Below are 20,849 nucleotides of genomic sequence, written 5' to 3'. Positions count from 1 at the left end.
TTCCGTTGTGGTCTGGCACAGGTATCCACCTCTGATCTCTCCTACTGGCTGTGAGCTCTCTAAATGAAAGCACATACCTCGCTTCCTTATATTCTCCACCTTGTCTATCACAGTGCCTAGATGGCAAAGCAGCCCTGTACAGGTCTGCTCAGCGTGCAGGTGGAAAAGATGGCTTCCCGGCTGTTTTTATTCTGAGACTTGCAGGGCTGAGCTGCTGTTGAAGGCTCACAGGCTTCTAACACTGTCGGTAACCCCCAGGACCGGCCGCCCTGTGCGATGCATGCTGGACCGTGATGAGGACATGCTGATAACTGGTGGCAGACATCCCTTCCTGGCCAGATACAAGGTTCTAGATGTTGGGGCTGTGCTGGGGCGGGATGAGCCATTTTGTGAGGAAAGCTGGGACCGAATGTCCAGGCATCCTGAGCTGCACTCCTACTTTTTGCCTATCTGTAGAAGTTCAAATAAGATATAGCAAGAAGAGAAATTCAAATAGGCTAACAGCAACACAGAAAGGTAGTGCTGAGGGAGGCTGGCACCCCATCTCCCAAGGGTGGCATTCGTGACTTCTGTGGATTTGCTGTGTTCTGAGTCTGGTCAGGCTCAGAAACATGATTCACCAGCATACTCAGGGTAAACCATCGCGCTTGGTAGCCCAACATTAACATGATCACAGGCCTGATGTAAAAATTGGAATGACAGCTTAGTAATTTACTGTGAGAAATAAAACTTCCCAGGGGCCTGGACAGGCCCAAGATGTTAGGATGGGTATGTACTTTTCCAGACCATGGTTGGACACGGTCCACACTTCTCTCTGGGACAGTCCCTCTTCTGGGTTTCTGTGGATGACCAATGCACCCTTTCCCTGTACACATCAGCAAAGCCTTATGGGGCTCCGCCTAGCTCTAGAAACCTGAGAGCCCTCTCTCCATGAATTGGCCTTGAACATGGCCTTTGACCTATTCTGAGTTTGTTTCATGATTTAACTCCCAGCAAGGGATTATATTTCTCTTAGCCCCAAATTCTTGTGGGCCTGAAGAGGATTCCTTGATCTTCTGGGGTCCCAGTTTCCGTGTGTGTAAAACAGCCTGTAAAGGGTATTTTAACAGTGTACATAAGGTCAAGGATTTGCGTGCTCCTGTGAAATGAAACTTTTTGTGTCTTCTGACCAAAATCTGTGAGGAGACAGTCCGGTATCTTTCCTAGTTTCTCTTCCCTGCGCTTCCCCCCCGCCCTATCGTGACCAGCCTTCTCTTTCCAACCTCCTTACTCCCCTCCGAGACCAGAAGCCAGGTGCCGGTAGCAGGAGGAAGAGGTGTGGGGACAAGGGCTTCCAGGGGTGGGGAGCCAAGTGTGTGCCACTGGGGAGAGGTCAGTTCCTCTCTTCTTCACTTGTTACCTTCTGGTGACTTCTGAAGGTCACCTTTTTTTCACGGGATGATGTGGTGTTCTGTTTATTTCCTCCAGGTGACATAAGTGGGAGGGAGGATCAGAGGGAGACAGAGAGGTGGGGGAAACGGGACTTATGATAAATCCCTCTCCTTTCTCCTTTTATCAGGTTGGCTTCATGAAGACTGGGACAGTTGTGGCTCTTGAGGTGGACCACTTCAGCAATGTGGGGAACACCCAGGATCTCTCTCAGAGTGTGAGTAGGACCTGCAGCCGCCCCTGCACCCAGAGCTGACTTCGAGGTCAGCCTGTTCCCACGCAGGCACAGGCCTCCCCAGTCCCTGCTTGCTACTGTTGCAGTAGTCTCCTAATGGGTCCCCACCTTCAGGTTTCCCATCCTCGATTAATCTCTATAGCACAATGATGATCGTATTATTTCTCTGGTTAAAAACCCATCCTTCCTGTTCAAGATAATTTGCCAAGCTAGCAAGTTAGTTACAATGTTTTATGTATAGTGTGGTGGCATTGTGTGTGTGTACATATGCATGGAATAGTAATATATATATACAGTAACATATAAACTAATACTAATATATATTACTATATATAGCATGCGTGGAAAAGTGTCTGAAGGAACATATACCAAACTGTTAGCAGTGATGATCAAATTGTTAACAACGATTGGAATGGTATTGAGAGGCGTACACACTGTCATTTTCTGTGTTACACATTTCTGTGATGTTTTAATTTTAAATAATTCGAATTGCTTTTTAAAAAATGGTTTCATTGAAGTATAATTTACATACCATAAAGTTAATCCATTTGAAGTATATAATTTAATGGTTGTTAGTAAATTTCAAGAGTTGTTAGACCACTGTCACAATCCAGTGTTTGAACTCCCATCACCCCAGAATGATGTCTTGCATCATTTGTAGTCATTCCCATTACCATTCCATAGGCCCAGGTCATCATTAATCTACTTTCCGTCTTGTAGTCAAGTCATTTTATAGAACCATACACTATGTAGTTTTTTCTGTTTGGTGTCTTTCTCTCAGAATAATGTTTTGTAGGTTCATCTATGTTTTTATTATTATTCTTTCTTTTGAGATAGAGTCTCACTCTGTCGCCAGGCTGGAGTGCAGTGGCACGATCTTGGCTCACTGCAACCTCTGCCTCCAGCTTCAAGCGATTCTCCTGTCTCAGCCTCCCGAGTAGCTGGGATTACAGGCATGCACCCCTATGCCTGGCTAATTTTTGTATTTTTAGTAGAGACAGGGTTTCACCATGTTGATGAGGCTGGTCTCGAACTCCTGACTTCAAGTAATCAGCCCTCCTCAGCCTCCCAAAGTGCTGGGATTACAGGCGTGAACCACTGCATCCGGCCCATCTATATTATAGCATGTATCACTACGTCACTCCTGTTCATTGATGAATAATATTCCATCATAGGGATATACCATATGTTGTTTCCCATTCACCACTTGATGGACATTTGTGTTGTTTCCAGTTTTTTGCTTTTATGCATAATACTGCTCTGAACACTCTCATACTAGCCTTATGTAGACATGTATTTTGATTTCTCTTGACTAAATTCCTAGGAATAGAATTGCTGAATCTGTGGTGAGCTTAACATTTTAAGAAATGATCGCATTTTCATGGGCGGAGGCGGCCCGGCAGGCACTGGGAGAGCTGGGCTTTATTATTACTAATATTCTACAATTGTTTAAATAAAAGGAACTTTATAATGAAACAGTTTGGAATACTGGCTCAAGAACCTATGTCAAGATGAGCTGAATTTTAGTAAATTACTTTAGGAATTATGACGAGCTAATTGAATTAGGCTTGTGACAATGAGGAATTTACATGACAGGTAAAACTCATATTAAAAATGTTTAGATATTTGCTTCTATAGATGTCACTTTAATAAAATACCAATTTAGTTTTACTTGTGGCTTATCTAGTTAGTAAGAACTTTAATAGGCTTTACTGGGACAAGCTTACTGCTCTTGTAGGAGCTCCTCTCACAAGTAGTTGTAATGCCATAGAGTGACACTCAGGATCAGTAGCTTGAGATGTTATGGTTTTTCTCTTCATCTATGACTTGCAGAGAGCCTCCCCTTTTTGGATCCAGACATCTTTTCTGAATCCTGGTTCCACTAGTACATCTGCTCCCCTGTGATCCCAAATCATAGTCAATGGTGCCTCGAACATAGCACCTTCAGTTAAAGGCTGCCTAGTGCTCTGAGGAAAGCTTGCTGATTATCTTCCTGCTCTACTCACCCCAAAAGGCAGAAAAGCAACATAGTCAGTCCTGTGCTCATTTGTAATTGTAAAGATCAGTTATATATATATATATATTTGTAATGAGAGCAAGTATATACTCATTATAGGATAAATTTAAGGAGTTTAAAATATCCCAAAGTAGAATTTCTATATCTAGCCTTTTGTTTCTTTCATGAATATTTGCAAGCAATTACCATTAAATTCACACATGAAAGATTAATCTGAAAGATCAGAGAGACCGTATTATTCCTGACCATGATAGAACTGCTTCTGTGGTCTGGGACAAGTAACAAAGCATCTGCTTGAGTTTTGTTTGTAAAATACACTATTAATATTTGACCTACCTCAAAACATATTGAGGATCTGTGAAATGCTAAGTGTCCAAAATAAAATATTGCTGATTGTCTTTTTATTGAAAGTAAATTTCCTCATTAAGCCAACCTGCCTTCTGTAAGTCATAGTGCTTAAATCTCAGGATTTTTCATTAGGAGAGACCTGTCATTAAGGATTTGTAGGTATAATTGCTTAGCCTCCATTATTGGTGCTTGGGATAGAGAGGTTTTAGATTTTTCTGTTTTTTGTTCTGCTTCAAAGCTCAGTTTATTGAAGACATTTATAAGCTATTGGATCATCACTTGAATCAAGATTTTGACTAGTGAGCTTAATTGTCCATTTCTTATGATTTCAAAGTTACAGTCTGAGAAATGGCTGATTTTAATAACTGTCCTTTCATAAATTAATGTTGGAATAAACTGAAGCTGGAGATAAATACTTCATGAAAACTGGCTAAAGTCTGAAATAATTACCTGTTTTATGTCCAATAGCTACTAAATTTGATAGAACAGTTTTGAGAAACATTTCATTCTTGAAGGCAACATCTGACATGGTTCTCAGCAAGTTGGAATAGTAAAGATTGCTGGGCTGTTACGATGAGTGGAAGGAGCGTGTTTGTAGCATACAAGTTATTCAGCAATCTTGTGCTGTTGACCTAAAAATATGTCTTAATTCTTCATCAAGGCAAGCCTGGTGAAGTCTTTACTTGTTACTACTTCAACAGTTGGAATTAGTTGCTCTTTTTACTTGATGAAACAAAACTATACCTCTGAATATTTATGGATACTTTTTACTAAATCAGGCTTGTGTTCTTAATCCAAATTAGTAAAGTTTTATGGAAGCTGAAATGTAACACAGTAGTCTCCCCTTATCTGCAAGAGATACATTCCAAGACTCCCAGTGGATGCCTGAAACATCAGATAGTACTGAACTCCTTGTTATACAGTCATCTCCCCTTATCTGCAGGAGATACATTCCAAGAACCCTAGTGGACACCTGAAACCTCAGATAGTACTGAACCCCTTGTTATACAGTCATCTTCCCTTATCTGCAGGAGGAGATACATTCCAAGAACCCTAGTGGGTGCCTGAAACCTCAGATAGTACTGAACCCTTTATAGACTATGTTTTTTCAATCTGACAACCAAGGCGGGACTAAGCGGCTAAGGGGCAGGTAGTACACAGTGTGGATAAGCAGGACAAAGGGAAGATTCACATCCCGCACAGGACAGAGCAGGAGATCATCAGATTTCATCACTCAGGACAGCTTGTGATTTATTTTATTTATTTTTTGTTTTGAGATGGAGTCTCACTCTGTCACCCAGGCTGGAGTGCAGTGGTGCAGTCTTGGCTCACTGCAACCTCCGCCTCCTGGGTTCAAGTGATTCTCCTGCCTCAGCCTCCCAAGTAGCTGGGATTACAAGTGCCCTGCCCCACCACGCCCAGCTAATTTTTGCATTTTTAGTAGAGACGGGGTTTCACCAGGTTGGCCAGGCTGGTCTCGAACTTCTGACCTCGGGTGATCCACCCGCCTCATCCTCCCAAAGTGCTGGGATTATAGGCATGAGCCACCTTGCCCGGCCGACTTGTGATTTAAAACATAAATTGTTTATTTCTGGAATTTTCCACATAATATGTTTGGACCAAGGCTTCCTTGGTTAACAAACTACGGAAAGTGAAATTGCAGATAAAGGGGGTTACTGCTCCTGTGCTCTAAAACTGGTGTTTGGGTGATCAGGAGCAGGTAGCCAATGGGAAGAGCACATCTGAGTGATAACTAAAGGAGTTTCTCTGGTGGCCTTTTCACATTCTCCAATGCTCAAGCATATTTTCCACTTACCATTTTCTCTTTCACCTCATTTTGCCTCACCATCCCCCATCCCTGCTTATTTCTTAAGCCCATTGATGGCACTCATTAAATTGTGTTTAGGGCTAATGAATCATTGTTCCTTAATATCCTTTTCAATATGCCACAATTTAGGACACATTTAAAATTTTCTAAAACAATATCCTAATCCGAATATTGATTAATTTGAGCCACATTCCCAACTCTAACTCAGGGCACACTGCCAGTCTTCCCCAATATCTCCTCTCAATTCCCCACCACACCTTATAAAATTGGAATCAAAGAAATCTCACTCTGTCATTGTGAATCTAAGAATAAAAACACTGATTTTAATACTGCTTTACTAGTTTCAGCCTTCTAAGTAGGTAGGCCTCTAGGTATTCTGCAGATCACTGGTGGTCTTGATAGCCATTAATATATGTTTGTATTATGTTATTTTTTAACTAAATCACAGTTGGAAAAAAACATCTTTGATATTATGCCCTTGGACCTGTTACTGCATCACTGGCGCTTGTGATGCAATAGGACACTTCGCCTGTACTAAAAGGGCCAAGAGTAAATGCCTTGTTTTTTTTTTTTTGGTTTTTGTTTTGTTTTGTTAAACATGTCTATAGAGTTGGCAGTTAATGCTGAATTTGTCAAACAGCCCTTCCAAAACTATTCTTGTATTTAAAAAATAAATGGATCTACCTAATTTCTATTGATTTTTTTTAAAAAAGAAATGATCAAATTATATTCCTGAGTGACTACACCATTTTATATTCCAATCAACAATCTTTAGGGATTCCACATCCTCAGTAACACTTGGTATTGTCTGTCTTTACCCACTAGAATTAGTGGGTGTGAAGTGATAGCTCATTGTGATTTCAGTTTGTGTTTCTTATATCCTGTGACCTTGCAGAACTCATTTATGAGTTCTAGGATTTCTTCTGTAGATTCCTTGGGATTTTCTCTGCAGACAATCATTATCATCTGCAAATAGGGATGGTTTTTTTCTTCCTTTCCAATCTGCATGTTTTCATCTCCTTTTCTTTACATACTGAGATGGCTAGCCAGACCTTGCAGAACTATAGGTCATATATCCTTCCTTTGTTTTTATTCTTAAGGGGAAGACATCCAGTCTTTCACCATTAAATATGTTATTGGTAGGGTTTTGTTTGTTTGTTTGTTTTTTGTAGATACTCATGATCAGATTAAGAAAGTTTTCTTCCATTAGTGTTTTCTGAGCATCTTTATAATGAATGGGTGTTGAATTTTGTCAAATGCTTTTTCTGCACTGACTGATATGATCATGTGATTTTTTCTTCTTTAGCTTGTTAATATTGTGGATTGTATTCATTGATTTTTTTAAACACTGAACCAACCACTGTCCTTGGAATGAATCCAGCTTGGTCATGGTATAATTAATATATTGCCAAATTTTATTTGCTAAAATTTGTTAAGGATTTTTGGATCCATATTCATGAGAAATATTGCTCTGTAGTTTTTTCTTTTAAAATTATACCATCTTGGTCAGGGTTTGGTGTCAGGATAACACTAGCTTCATAAAATGAGTTAGAATTCCTCTTCTAATTCTAGAACAGATTGTGTAGAATTGGTGTTAATTCTTCTTTAAATGTTTGGTAGAATTTTCCAGTGAAATCGTTTGGACCTGGAGACTTCTTTTCTGATAGCCTTAAAACTATTGATTAAATTGCACTGTGGTCTGATAGACAGTTTGTTATAATTTCTGTTCTTTTACATTTGCTGAGGAGTGCTTTACTTCCAACTATGTGGTCAATTTTGGAATAAGTGTGATGTGGTGCTGAGAAGAATGTACATTCCGTTGATTTGGGGTGAAGAGTTCTGTAGATGTCTATTACGTCAGCTTGATGCAGAGCTGAGTTCAATTCCTGGATATCCTTGTTAACTTTCTGTCTCGTTGATCTGTCCTAGAGCTTAAAAGTATAATACTTGAAAAAAAAAGAAACAAACAAAAAAACACTATTGATTAAATTTCCTTAATAGTTCTAGGACTATTCAAATTATCTATCTCATACTGAAGTGGTAGTTTTGTATTTTGAGACATTCATTTAAAAATGTTTTGTTTTTCATTATTATTGGTACATAGTAGTTGTATATATTTATAGGATACATATGATGTTTTGATACAGGCATACAGTGTATCAGGATAAACAAATCAGGGTAACGTCAATATCTATCACCTCAAGAATTTATCATTTTTCTGTGTTAGGGAACATTTCAATTCTACTCTTATTTATTTTTAAATATACGATAAATTATCATATATTTAAAAATATTATAGTCACCATATTGTTCTACTGTATGCTAGATGTTACTCATTCTAACTATATTTTTATATGTATTAACCATCCCCATTTTATCCTCTGTCCCCCTACCCTCCCCAGCCTCTGGTAAACATCATTCTACTCTTTATCTCCATGAATTCAATTTAATTTTGTCTAAGTTATTAAAAAATTCATGTGTGTAGAATCGTTCATAGTGTGTTCTTATTTCTCTTTTGATGTCTTCAGGGTCTGTAGTGATAGCCCGTGTTTCAATCCTGATTTGGTAATTTGTGGCTTCACTTTGTTTTTCTGTCTTGCCAGAGGTTTGTCAATTTTATTGCTCTTTTTAAAGACCCGGGTTTTTGTTTCATTGATTTTCTCTATTGTGTTTGTTTTCAATTTCACTGATTTCTGCTCTTATCCTTATTATTTCGTTCACTCTGTTTGCTTTGGATTTATTTTGCTTCTCTTTTTCTAGGTTCTTGAGTTGAAAGCTTAAATTAACTATCTGAGAATGTTTTCCTCTTTTTTAATGTATTCAATTTAGTGCTGTAAAGTTTCCCCTCAGCACTACTTTAGACAGGTCCCATAAGTTTTGGTATGTTGTATTTCATTTTTTTCTTGTATTTTTGGTCTGCTTGTTTATTTCCCTGACACCTTCTCTTTGATCCCTAATTATTTAGAAGCATGCTGTTTGGTTTTCAGGTGTTTATAGATATTCCAGTTATCTTTGTATCCTGAGGCTTTCTATTGATTTCTAGTTTCATTCCGTTTTAGTTGAAGAACACAGTCTATAGGATTTCAATTCTTTGAAGTATGTTGAGGTTCATATCATGGCCCAGGACATGGTCTGTTTTGATACAAGTTCCACGGGCACCTAAGCAGAATGTGTATTTTGCTGTTGATGGCTGTGTATTAGTTTTCTGTGGCTGTTATAACAAATCACCACAAATTGGGTGGCTTAAAATAACGAACATTTATTTTCTCACAGTTCTGAGGCCAGAAGTCTGAAATCAAGGTGTTGGCAGGACCGCACATCCTCTGGAAGCTCTAGGGAAGGATCCATTCCTGACCTTTTGTAGTTTCTGGTGGCTGGTGGCACTCCTTGACTTGTGGTTGCATCAGTCCAATCTCTGTCTTTGTCTTCCCATCACCTTCTCCTGTGTGTCCATTCTTGTCTACCTAGACATACTTCTCTCTTACAGAGACATGTGATTGCATTTAGGATCCACTCCAATGGTTCAGGATAAGCTACTTCTCTCCAGATCCTTAACTTTATCACATATTTTGCCATATAAGGTAGTATTTACAGGTTCCATGATTAGAAAGTGAATATATCTTTGGGGAGGCATTTCTTTTTCCTACCACATGTATAATGTGCTATAAATATCCACTAGATCCTGATGGTGGTGTTGAGTTCTTCTATACCCTTCCTGATTTTCTGTCTATTTTTTGCTACCAATTTTGAGAGAGGAGCATTGAAATCTCCAACTGTAATTGTGGAGTTTTCTATTTCTCCTTTTAGTTCTACCAGTCTTTACTTCATATCTTTTTCAGCTCTTTTATTTGGGGCAGACACAATTAGTATTGCTGTCTTTTGGGAGGATTGACACTTTTATCATTATGTAATCTCCTTCTCTCTGTCTCTGGTAATTGTATTTGCTCTGAAGTCTACTTTATCTCATATTAATAAAGCCACTCTTGCTTTCTTTTGATTAATGTTTGCATGTTATATCTTTTTCCATCCTTTTACTTTCAACTTGCCTACATTATTATATTTGAAGTGATTTTCTTGAAGACAGTATGTAATTGGGTCATGTTTGTAAATCCATTCTGCTAATCTCTTTTAACTGTATTTATACAATTTATACATCATATAATGATTGATGTGTTGAGGCATAAGACTGCCACTTTATTTTTTGTTTTCTGTTTGTTCTATCAGCTTTTCATTTCTCTGTATTCTTTTGTGTGCCTTGCTGTGGGTGGGTTACTTGGACATTTTTTTTAATATTCCATTTTTATTAAAAGTATCTCTTACATAGCTTTCTTAGTCATTGTTCAAGGTATTATGTTATATATACACAACTTATCACAGCCTACTGAAGTTCTCATTTTACTAGTTTTGGTGAAGTATAGAAAACTTACCTCCCTTTATGACTCTGCCCTTTCCCATTTATATTATTTTTATTTTAAATATTTTCTTTACATTCATTTAGAACCACATCAAGACAGTGTTTTAATTTTTGTTTCAACTATCAGACAATTTTAAAAACTGAGAAGAAAAGCTTACTGCTTGTACCCATGATTTTGCTTATAGTGTTTTTCCTTCCTTCTAATTTTCCAAGCTTCCTTCTTTTATCATTTTCTTTCTGTTTAGAACTTCCTTTAGTCATTATTTTATTGTGGGTCTGCTGGGGACACATTTTCTTAGTTTTCCATCTGAGAATGTCTTGATTTTTTTCCTTGTTCCTGAAGGATCACTTTACTGGGCATTAAGTTTTGAGTTAACAGTTCGTTTCTTTCAGCACCTGAAAAACTGCCACTTCGTTCTGGTCTCTATGGCTTCTGATGAGAAATCCTCTGTCATTCTAATTAGGCTCCCCCTATAGGTAAGTTGTCATATTCTCTGGGTGCTTTCAAGATTTTTCCTTTGTCTTTAGTTTTCAGAAGTTTAATTATGATAGGACTTACCATAGATTTCTTCAGGCTTATCCTGTTTTAAGATCACCAAGCATCTTGAATCTGTAGGTTTACATATCTTGAAACCTTGGGAACTTTTCAGTTATTATTGCTTTGAGTACTTTCATGCTCTTCTCTTTTTCTCCTTTTCTTCCAGATCTCCAATGGCATGAGTGTTAGGTCTTTTGTTATAGTCCCAAATGTCCTTGAAACTGTAATTTTTTTTTCATTCCATATTCTCAATATAGTTCAGACTGGATAATATATCTTATTCTATTCTTCAGTTCACTGATTCTCTTCTATGTCCCTTCTCTTCTGCTGTTGAATCCACCCAATAAGCTATTTATTTTGGTTGTTGCCTTTTCAATTCTGAAAGGCCCATTAGGTTCTTCTTTGTATCTTCTATGTCTTTGGTGAGACTATCTGTTTATTTCCAGAAGCTTTTTATTTCTGTCAAGTGTGTTCACAATTGATCTCAGAGGCATTTTTTTCATGGCTGCATTAAAACTACAGTCAGATAATTTTAACATCTTTGTCACCTCAGTGATGGCATCTCTTGGTTATCTTTTATTATTCAGGAAGTTTGAGATCTTCCTATCACTTGGTATGACAAGTGATTTTTCACTGAAACTTGGAGAAACCCGTCATTAATGTACAGATGATGGTGGTGATGACGATGTTCTGAGAGCTTGGATCTATTTAAGCCTTCTATTTTAATTGGCTCCTTCTGACCTTGCTCTAGCAGTGGTGGATGCCACCTCATCACTGCTAGGTAGAGGTAGAAATCTTGATCTTCCACTTGGCCTTTGTTGATACCCAGGTTAGGAACAACTCCTTCTTACTTCTGGGCAGAGATGGGAGATCTACATTCCACGTGTTGTCCATGGACATCATGGTGTGGGTGGCCTCTTTACCACTGGCTTGTGCTAAAAGCCTTGACTCTTCACTAGACTTTTTCTGACACAACCAGAAAGGAAGGGAAGAGTGGTGTGTCTTTGTTATGTGGGTGGGGAAGTCAATGTGTTCTCCAGTGACTCCATCATAAGGTGTAGGTACAGCCTTATGACTGGCCATCAGCAATGAAAGTCTTGACTCCCGATCTGGTCTCCTCTGGCACCATCCCAGCAGGAATGTTGGGGTATCTCATAACAGCCTCATGAATGTGGAAGTCTGGGCTCCTACTGAGCTTTTGCAGGTGTGAGTAGGAATGAGACTACGTTTTCTTTTTCTGTGATGTTTGGCTGGGGTACTTATTGTCTAAAAGTGTTTAGTTTTGCTAGACTGCCCTTTTCTTGGTCTTTTGGCTAGAGATAAAAGGATTTGGAATATATAGTGAGCTTTTTGGTCTCTGTCATCATTGGCATTTCTGGATTGCCAGCTCCTGCCCCAAGTCTGGGATATATAGATGAGGCAAAAAGGAAACCCCTGGAACTCACCATCATGTCATTCCTTGGGTTGCAAAGTCCCTACTGGGACTGCCTTTTTTTTTCCTCCACTTTTCAGAGTATTCTTACATTGTTGTTGTGGTTGATTTTAAATAAATATATAGAATTCCAGAGTTTTTAGTGGTACTTAATGGAAGTATGGAAGTGAAAGTCTCTGTATATACTTCAATGTTGAGTTTCTCACAAGATAGAATCCTGAGTAATGTGTCAGTAATTATCGTGTGCTTTTATATTTAGTCTCAGTTGATGCTCCTCCAGTCACATTGTAAATGACCAGGGTAAGACCAGAAGTGGGAGCTACGTACTCCTCATTATTGTGGTCACAGCTTTGGGAGATGAACTTGGAATATTGAGTTGTTTAGAAAAATAACTAGAGGGCTTGGATGAAATAAAGTCAATTGTGAGAATTAACAAATTTATTTTGGTGGTACCACTTTTTACAGTTTTTTAAATCTTAATTTTGTAACCATAGTAGTTACGTATGTATAGATTCTTGTTTGAAAAAAAAAAAAAAAGAGGTGGCTGGGTGCGGTGGCTCATGCTTATAATCCCAGTACTTTGGGAGGCCGAGATAGACAGATCACTTGAGGTCAGGAGTTCAAGACCAGCCTGGCCAACATGGCAAAAGCCTGTCTCTTTGAAAAAAAAAAAAAAAGGTTAAAGTTTTCAGGAAAAGCCGACATTCCCCTTTACCCTTTTGGATCACACTCCTCTCTGCTAGGGGCTGCCTAATTGGCTCAGTTAGGAAACTTCACACTTCAGATCTAGGGTTAAAATTGTTCAAAAAAAGAATTATTCTTATTTCTTGTTCTCTTCAAGTATAAGACATGCTTTCTGGTATGGGAAAAAATCACGTTGAAAAACATACAGTCTTTGTCCCTAGACATCCTACAAGATTTTCAATTCAATCCAGCAAATATATTAAGTGCCTAGGGTGGCTACATAAGGAAGGCTATGACATTGTTTCTGCCCTCAAGAAATTCACAATATGGCAGGGGAAGTAGATGATAAAAGAAACAGAAATACAAGTTGATAAAGTACTAGGGAAAGCAAAAGTAGAATTAATTGAGACATAGAAAAATCATTTAGGATGAGTAAGACTGAAATTATCAAAGACACATAAAGCAACTTGTGGGAGAGAGAGAGTACCCATAGGGAAATAAACCAAAACCAAAATAAAACAAACAACAAAAAAAGAAAGCTGCCATTGATCTTTCCAGAGAGATGAGATATTACAACTTAAAGAAGGAACAGAATGTTACTAAAATGGAGCAGTCAAAGAATAAAAATGAGCTCTCATGACTTGACACTATGAAAGCAGAGGGGTTCAAAGAAACTTGACAAATCTCCCAAAAATGGAAAACAATGTGAAAAAATAGAGAAAATACAAAAAAATTTTGAGGATCAGTTCAAGAGGTCCAAATCATAGACATTTCAGAAAGAAAGAATGGAAAAAACAGAGAAGGGGAAGCTATCAATAATTCAAAAAATTTTCCAAAACTGATGGGCATACACTTTGGGATTAAAACAGCCCATATAATAACCAGCACAATGAAAGAAAATAGACCTATGCCAGGTTATAATGTTATGAAATTTAGAAACCTGAGGACAAAGAGAAGATTTCACAATTTTCAGGAAGAAAAAACAGAACTCTCCAAGAATTGGAAAGGCATTGATTGGACTTCTCAATAGCAGGAAGCTAGAATGTACTAGTAAAATGCCTTCACATTGCTGAGAAAAACTGGAAAGCCTACTTCCAAATTAGGATTCTATATACAGCTGAATCATTAATTAAAGGTGAAAGTAGAATAAAGACATTTCAGACATGCAAGGTGTCAAAGATGTTCCTCTTTGTGTACCCTTTCTTATGAAGATATTAAAGGATGTACTCCAACAAAATGAGGGAGTAAAATTTAAAAAGGGAAAGGCATGGAATCTAGGAACAGGGGATTCAATATGGAGAGAGGTGAAGGGAATCCCTGGGATGAATCCCTTTACCCCTTTGGATCCCACTGGGGGATTTAAGATTTAAATCCTTAGGTAACAGCTGAATAGCAGATCTAGTGGGCAGCGAATTTAAATTGGAGTAGGCCAGATGGCTCTAGGATAGAAAATCTGATGTGCTTGAACATGTTGGAAGCAGAGCTCAGGAGGGAAAAGAGAAAATATATTAGGAGCAGATTTTTAGAATTGGGGAAAACTTTAAGTTGGCTTAGTAATAAGTACATACAAAATGAAGCAGATGAAAAAATAAAGACAATTATTAACTCCAGGGTGAAAAAAATATTATCAAGAGAGAAGAAATTGTAATGTAACTACATGGTTCAGCTGTAAGTAATGTTTACAGAGTTATAATATTAAATTGACTGTTGATCTGATCAAAATACAACTATACTGGGAAATAGGAAGCTGGTAGGGGTGAGGGCTGGAGGGAGGGGGCTAAGCCAAAACTAAATTCTCCTTTTCCATAAAAGAAAGACAACCTAAAAGTCTAAAACTGAAAAAGTCAAGACATAGCAATGTAGCCACATTATCTAGAGACGTATAAGTTTATCTAAATAGCTGATAGATGATAAGCTATGAGAATTGTAAGTAGTTGCTTCTGGAGACTAGAAGGAAGGAAAGTGGAAGAGGCTACTGTTTTTCATACCATGACTTACAGAAGTATGGGACACTTCAAACTATTTGCAGTACAACTTTCATGGCTGTTTCATAGTTTTCATTAACTAATTTACAATGAATTTTTAAAAGTTAACTGTTTTCAAAAAGAGGCAAGTGATTAGTTCCAACTAGAGGCTCTGGAATGAATTTCTCCACAGAGTTGCTGAATGAGGGGACTAGTGGGTGGATAAGGTGCAGTAAAGATGCTGCCGCAGGCTGGGCTCATGCCTGTAATCCCAGCACTTTGGGAGGCCAAGGCGGGCGGATCACGAGGTCAGGAGATCGAGACCTTCCAGGCCAACATGGTGAAACCCCATCTCTACTAAAAATACAAAAATTAGCTGGGCGTGTGGTGCGTGCCTGTAATCCCAGCTACTCAGGAGGCTGAGGCAGGAGAATTGCTTGAACCAGGGAGTAGGAGTTTGCAGTGAGCCAAGATCGCTCCACTGCACTCCAGCCTGGTGACAGAGCGAGACTCCATCTCAAAAAAAAAAAAAAAAAAAAAAAAAAAGATGCTGCTGCAATATCCTGGGGGAGAAATAACTTGGGTGCAGAGGGGAAAGGCAGGCAATGGATACAGCCCTCAAAGTTCCTACTTTGAGGAACCAATGCAATCAGTACACTGTTCTCTCCCATTTTTGTTTCCTCTGCTTCAGATTATGGAACGAGCTTTATTCCACATGGACAACTGCTATAAAATCCCCAACATCCGGGGCACTGGGCGGCTGTGCAAAACCAACCTTCCCTCCAACACGGCCTTCCGGGGCTTTGGGGGGCCCCAGGGGATGCTCATTGCCGAGTGCTGGATGAGTGAAGTTGCAGTGACCTGTGGGATGCCTGCAGAGGAGGTAAGCTGAGAATTTGGTAGCACAAGTCAGAGTGCTTTAGACTACTTCGGGGGACAGCGGCTTTGTATCTTGGGCATCTCCCATGGGGGCAGATGACAGGCAGGGGCTGCTGAGGGGGTTGGAAGCTTAACTTTAGGTTGTGCCCTGCCCCCACAGTCTCTTGCCGCCAACAAGGCCTCTGTGTCTCTCTCCTTGGGAAGGTGCGGAGAAAAAACCTGTACAAAGAAGGGGACCTGACACACTTCAACCAGAAGCTTGAGGGTTTCACCTTGCCCAGATGCTGGGAAGAATGCCTAGCAAGCTCTCAGTATCATGCTCGGAAGAGTGAGGTTGACAAGTTCAACAAGTAAGCACTAGGAGTAGAAGTCCAGTTGCTCTTCTGGGTTTCATATCCTACAGCCTTTCTGCTGACCCCATATAGGAAGCTAATAATTCAATGGATAACTTATGAGACTGCTGAGTTTGCCAACTCATTCACAGCCATCTCTTTAAGATCTTATAATGATCTTCAGCCCGGGGCAGGTGGGCTCACAGCCTGCAATCGGTGTCATAGCCTGTCAGTTGTGGTTCATCTTTACGCGTTTGTAAACCTTTGGGCACACCGTATGATAAAGAACACTGGCCTAGGACTAACACGTCACAGTTATGCACCTGCCTCTGACACTGATCTATAAATATGAATTTGGGAGTCCCTGGGCCTCAGTTTCATCATGTGAAAAGTGGGCATAATTGGGCTGGCTCTGTCTTCCTCACAGAGTTACTCAGATAATTAAATATAAAGCACAGAGAAGGCTTTATTATTGTCAGTGAGGCACAGTGCCTCCTGGAGATGATGACAGCCCAAGATTACCAGGGCACTCTGACCCAGTACGGGTTGCACTCAGGGAAGAAGAGTGTTGACAAGACCCCCTGGTGTGGGCTGTGCACCAGCTGACTGTTCTCATCTTTGTGGGCAACCCCAAGGATGTCCTGTTTTGATGTGAACATCCAAAGATATTCATGTCCTCAATATGATAGCGAAGGTTCTATAAGAATATTCCTTTTTCTCTAGGGAGAATTGTTGGAAAAAGAGAGGATTGTGCATAATTCCCACCAAGTTTGGAATAAGCTTTACAGTTCCTTTTCTGAATCAGGTAATTGCTTTATAGAATTGTGTCCATCTCCGCTGGACTGGGACCCCATTTCCCTGTTGTTTACAGTATTGCAAGGGAAATTTCGTTGTCACTGGTAACAGGGCTTACTGGAGGAACTCTTTGCTCTTTAAATGAAAGTCGAACTTGCACAGTCCTATTTGTCCAGTAGGTCATGGGCAGTGAGACTCAGAGATCTGGGATCAACCTCTAGTTCTTACCTTTCCTTAACTATCGGACTGGAGAGAGCTACTCTATTTTTCTTGTTCTGTTTCTTCACTTACAGAGTGAGGACAGATATTTGACCTATTTCCCTTTGAGAACAAGAGAAACAGAGAGAAACATATGAAAACCTTCTGCAAACTACTGAAGTGCTATATAATTAAATCATGAGATTCATACTGCCATAATTTTTGTCTGAGGTTTACATCCAAAATGCTGCTGGTTCTCTTGTTCCTGGGCTCCATACCTTTGGTCCCAAACCTTAATGAGTTGGATTTTACTGAATTTTGTGTCTGGCATCCTTCTCTTTCCCTAGGCAGGAGCCCTACTTCATGTGTACACAGATGGCTCTGTGCTGCTGACCCACGGGGGGACTGAGATGGGCCAAGGCCTTCATACCAAAATGGTCCAGGTGAGCAGCCCTCTCTGGCAGTGTTGTGTCCGTTGTTAGAGGAAGTGGTATAAGAAATTGAGCAGTGGGACCTATCAGAGCAGAAGCAGGCCCGGGGTCTGGCCCTGGCCCTGTTGCTTATGTCCGTGTAGCCTCGGGCAAGTCTTTTCCCCCACTTGAACTCAGTTTCCTCATCTGTGCAAAGGAGTTGGCCAGGTGACCTCTGAGGACATTGCTATTACCAACATTCTCAGTGTGTGAGGCGGGCATGCTCTGTGTGTAAAGGTCGCGAGTTTCCCACATTCCAAGACTCCTCGGAGTGGAGTGAGGACAATGAGCTGGATTAGAGTCAGCACATCTGCTTGGCGCATGGAGACTGGCCAGATTGGATCTTTTGAAAAGTGAGTGTTAGTGTAAAAAGGCACTGTTTGTCAGTTTATGAATTTTTTATCCAACCGAACTCCACCAAGTGCTCCTTCAAATTCAGCCAGATGTAAGGACATCCCAGACAATGAGATTAGAGTTTACGAAATTGTTTTCTTGCCTGTAACAGTGAATGTGAATCCTGTCTTGGGGAGAAGGCAGCCAAGCCCCATGATAACCCCTTCCCTAGAGGGCAATGTCTTCTCTTTTCGCAGGTGGCCAGTAGAGCTCTGAAAATCCCCACCTCTAAGATTTATATCAGCGAGACAAGCACTAACACTGTGCCCAACACCTCTCCCACGGCTGCCTCTGTCAGCGCTGACCTCAATGGACAGGCCGTCTATGTAAGGAGCCCATGGGATCCCGCAGAGCAGAGGGCCAGCCCAGAGCTGTGGGCCTGGAGAGTCTCCCTGGGTGGGAGCTAGAAGGGTTCCTTGCAGGCTCTTTGGCTCTGGCCAGGCCTCTGGCTCCCTTATCCAGGAGGATGCTGTTTCTCCAAACCTCAAGCTAAAAGAGAGGCCCAAGAATCATAATCACTGCCCTCAAAGCTGGGAAGGATGAGTGCAGGATGGGGAGATGAGGATACCGAGGGAAAGCAGAGGCTTCTGGAATTACTCCCTGGTGCTGGAGCTAGCAATAGGACAATGGGCTGAAGCTGAAATTTGATTATAGAGGCAGGTTGGCCACACTGGCTCCTCTGCCATATGGGGGATATAATCAAACAAGCAGTTTGAGGGAAGAAGACACCTCTCTGGGGATCCCTCAAACATTTCGCCCTCTGTCAGCCTAAGAATTGAGTCAGGAAGTGCTCTCCAAGCAGGGACTAGTGGTGGCCCTATTGGCCAGGTCCTGTCGATTCTACCCTGGGCCTTGATCATTCTGGAGTGGGTGGCCAGGCTGTTTGAGTGGCACCCTGGGTACAGCATTGCTTGGAGGTAGCCTTGCTGGGGCCCTCGGGTTTTGCCTGGGCTACAGAATGCAGAGGACTGATGTGTCTGGGGTGTGGGGGGTGTTTACTTTAGGCGGCTTGTCAGACCATCTTGAAAAGGCTGGAACCCTACAAGAAGAAGAATCCCAGTGGCTCCTGGGAAGACTGGGTAAGTCTGAGCTGATCCAAGTCACGTTTGCAAAGGAGAGGGAAATTGACAGCAGGGCCTCCGTTCCGAATCCGAACAAGTAATAGGAGACAATATTTTAGTCAGAACAGCAGAGAGAAGTTGAGGTGGTTTGTGTGATTTTACAGGATGAATAAATGCTCATTCTGGCTGGGTCCCTTTCTCTATAGCTTTCATCATTGAGGGAGGTCATTTGAGGGAAGTTTTTGATCCAGGATCTTGACAGCCTTGTGGGAATCAGGGTTTTCTTTGCCTGAGCCTGAGAGGATGGGTGCCTGCTGAACATGCCTCATCGGATTGTCTTGACTCAGTGGGTCTGCTCCCACACCCCGCTTGTCCCAGATGAGCCTGGTTTTCCTCAAATCTCCATCTCTTGAGTCTGAGTCTACTGAGATTCCCTCTGTGACAGCGTGGGGAGAAAACATCACCCAAGGACTTCTATCATTCCTGTGATTTGGGGAATGACAGAACAAGCACTTATGATAAGAATGAGCCCAATTCTCTGACTTCTAGACCAGTGGCCTGAATGTCAGAAATCTCAGAGGGAAGGGGCAAGGGAGTCTCTTGCAGGCGGGAGGCTGTGGCTCCTCCAGCAAGTGGAAATATTAATGGCAGCTCTGCATCCTTCCCCAGTATTGGAGTGGTAGAACTGGGCAGAAGAGTAACACATCAAATGTGACTGCACATAAACCGGCTCACTAGAAATCTTCCTCAATAGATTTAAAGAAAACATGCCATTTTTCTCAGACCCACTCATCTTACTATGCCTTCTATGACCTCTCCATACCACGTGTACCAATAGCACATGAAAGTAGCCTGATTTTGGTAGTTGGGTTTTAGCATGGATTTATCAGGCAGTTTAAATGTTTTTAACAACAGTCCCGACAACAATGTTCTATCATCTGACCTGTGGATCTGAGCTTTGTCTTCAACCACCAGCCATGTAGACCAGTGTGCCTGGGAAACAGATAACCCCAATAAATGAACCACAGTCACCAACACATACATACACATGCGCATGTGCACGCACACACAAACGCACACAAGCATGCGTGCACACACACACATGCACACGCACATTATGTTAAATGACTAGTGCAGGTTTTAGGACCAAGTCTTTCCAAGCCTTAGTTTCCTCATCTGTAAAATGAGGCTAATAATAGTATAGGTTTTCTGGGGTTGTGAGTATAAGTAAGATAATGTATGCAAAGTGCTAAATAGCGCGTGTGACACAGTAAATCGTTTGGTGGCTGCTAATGAAGAAGGCATAAATTATATCAAGTACAACTTAAATCTGAGTCTGTGCTAGTGTTTGGGGATACCAAAAAAGCACATTATATAGTCCAAGGGATAGGATGGAGGGATAGTTTGATCAACAGGAAAGCATATGTAAAAGCACAAGGTGAACATGTGAAGTACCACATGAGCGCTATAGCGTGTTGCTTTTATAATGGCCAGTTAGGGAGAGTTCACCAAGGAGGGGAGAATGGAGGGCAAGTTTGAGTAGTTGTTGAGGGAAGAAAAGGATTTGCACATATATAGAAGAGGAACCACATAAATAAAGGTGCAGAGGTGTGGGAGATGGAAGAATTGAGAGAGATTTAGCTCTTGAGTGTGGCTGGGGTGGCCCTCGTGTGCTGCAAAATGCCAGAGAGACTGTGGTCCTTAACATCAGGCATTTGCTCTACAGGCAATAAGGAGCCGTGGAAAGCTCTAGAGTAGGGTAGTGACATGCACAGTGTGGTATGTTAAGATGGCCACTCTGGCTGGGCTGGGGAGACAACTCAAGGGAGGAAG

General features: G+C 40.8%; 1 protein-coding gene across 3 annotated transcripts in view; it reads left to right on the top strand.

Annotated features, from left to right (window-relative positions):
• The window catches only part of XDH (xanthine dehydrogenase), an 80,422-nt gene that overhangs the window by 48,940 nt on the left and 10,633 nt on the right, over positions 1–20,849 (top strand). For 2 of the 3 annotated variants that reach the window (XM_011533095.3, NM_000379.4), the window contains exons 23-30: positions 259–346; positions 1,559–1,645; positions 15,580–15,771; positions 15,972–16,117; positions 16,823–16,904; positions 17,440–17,535; positions 18,153–18,281; positions 18,960–19,034. In XM_011533095.3, the coding sequence (XP_011531397.1) occupies positions 259–346; positions 1,559–1,645; positions 15,580–15,771; positions 15,972–16,117; positions 16,823–16,904; positions 17,440–17,535; positions 18,153–18,281; positions 18,960–19,034 (895 nt within the window). Of the gene's footprint in view, positions 1–258; positions 347–1,558; positions 1,646–15,579; positions 15,772–15,971; positions 16,118–16,822; positions 16,905–17,439; positions 17,536–17,719; positions 18,131–18,152; positions 18,282–18,959; positions 19,035–20,849 lie in introns of those variants that run through there. The other variant, XM_011533096.3, reaches the window with a different exon arrangement.

This window comes from Homo sapiens, chromosome 2 (genome assembly GCF_000001405.40).
Source record: "Homo sapiens chromosome 2, GRCh38.p14 Primary Assembly".
Classification (NCBI taxonomy): Eukaryota; Metazoa; Chordata; class Mammalia; order Primates; family Hominidae; genus Homo; species Homo sapiens.
This window is presented reverse-complemented; position numbering and strand designations above follow the sequence as displayed.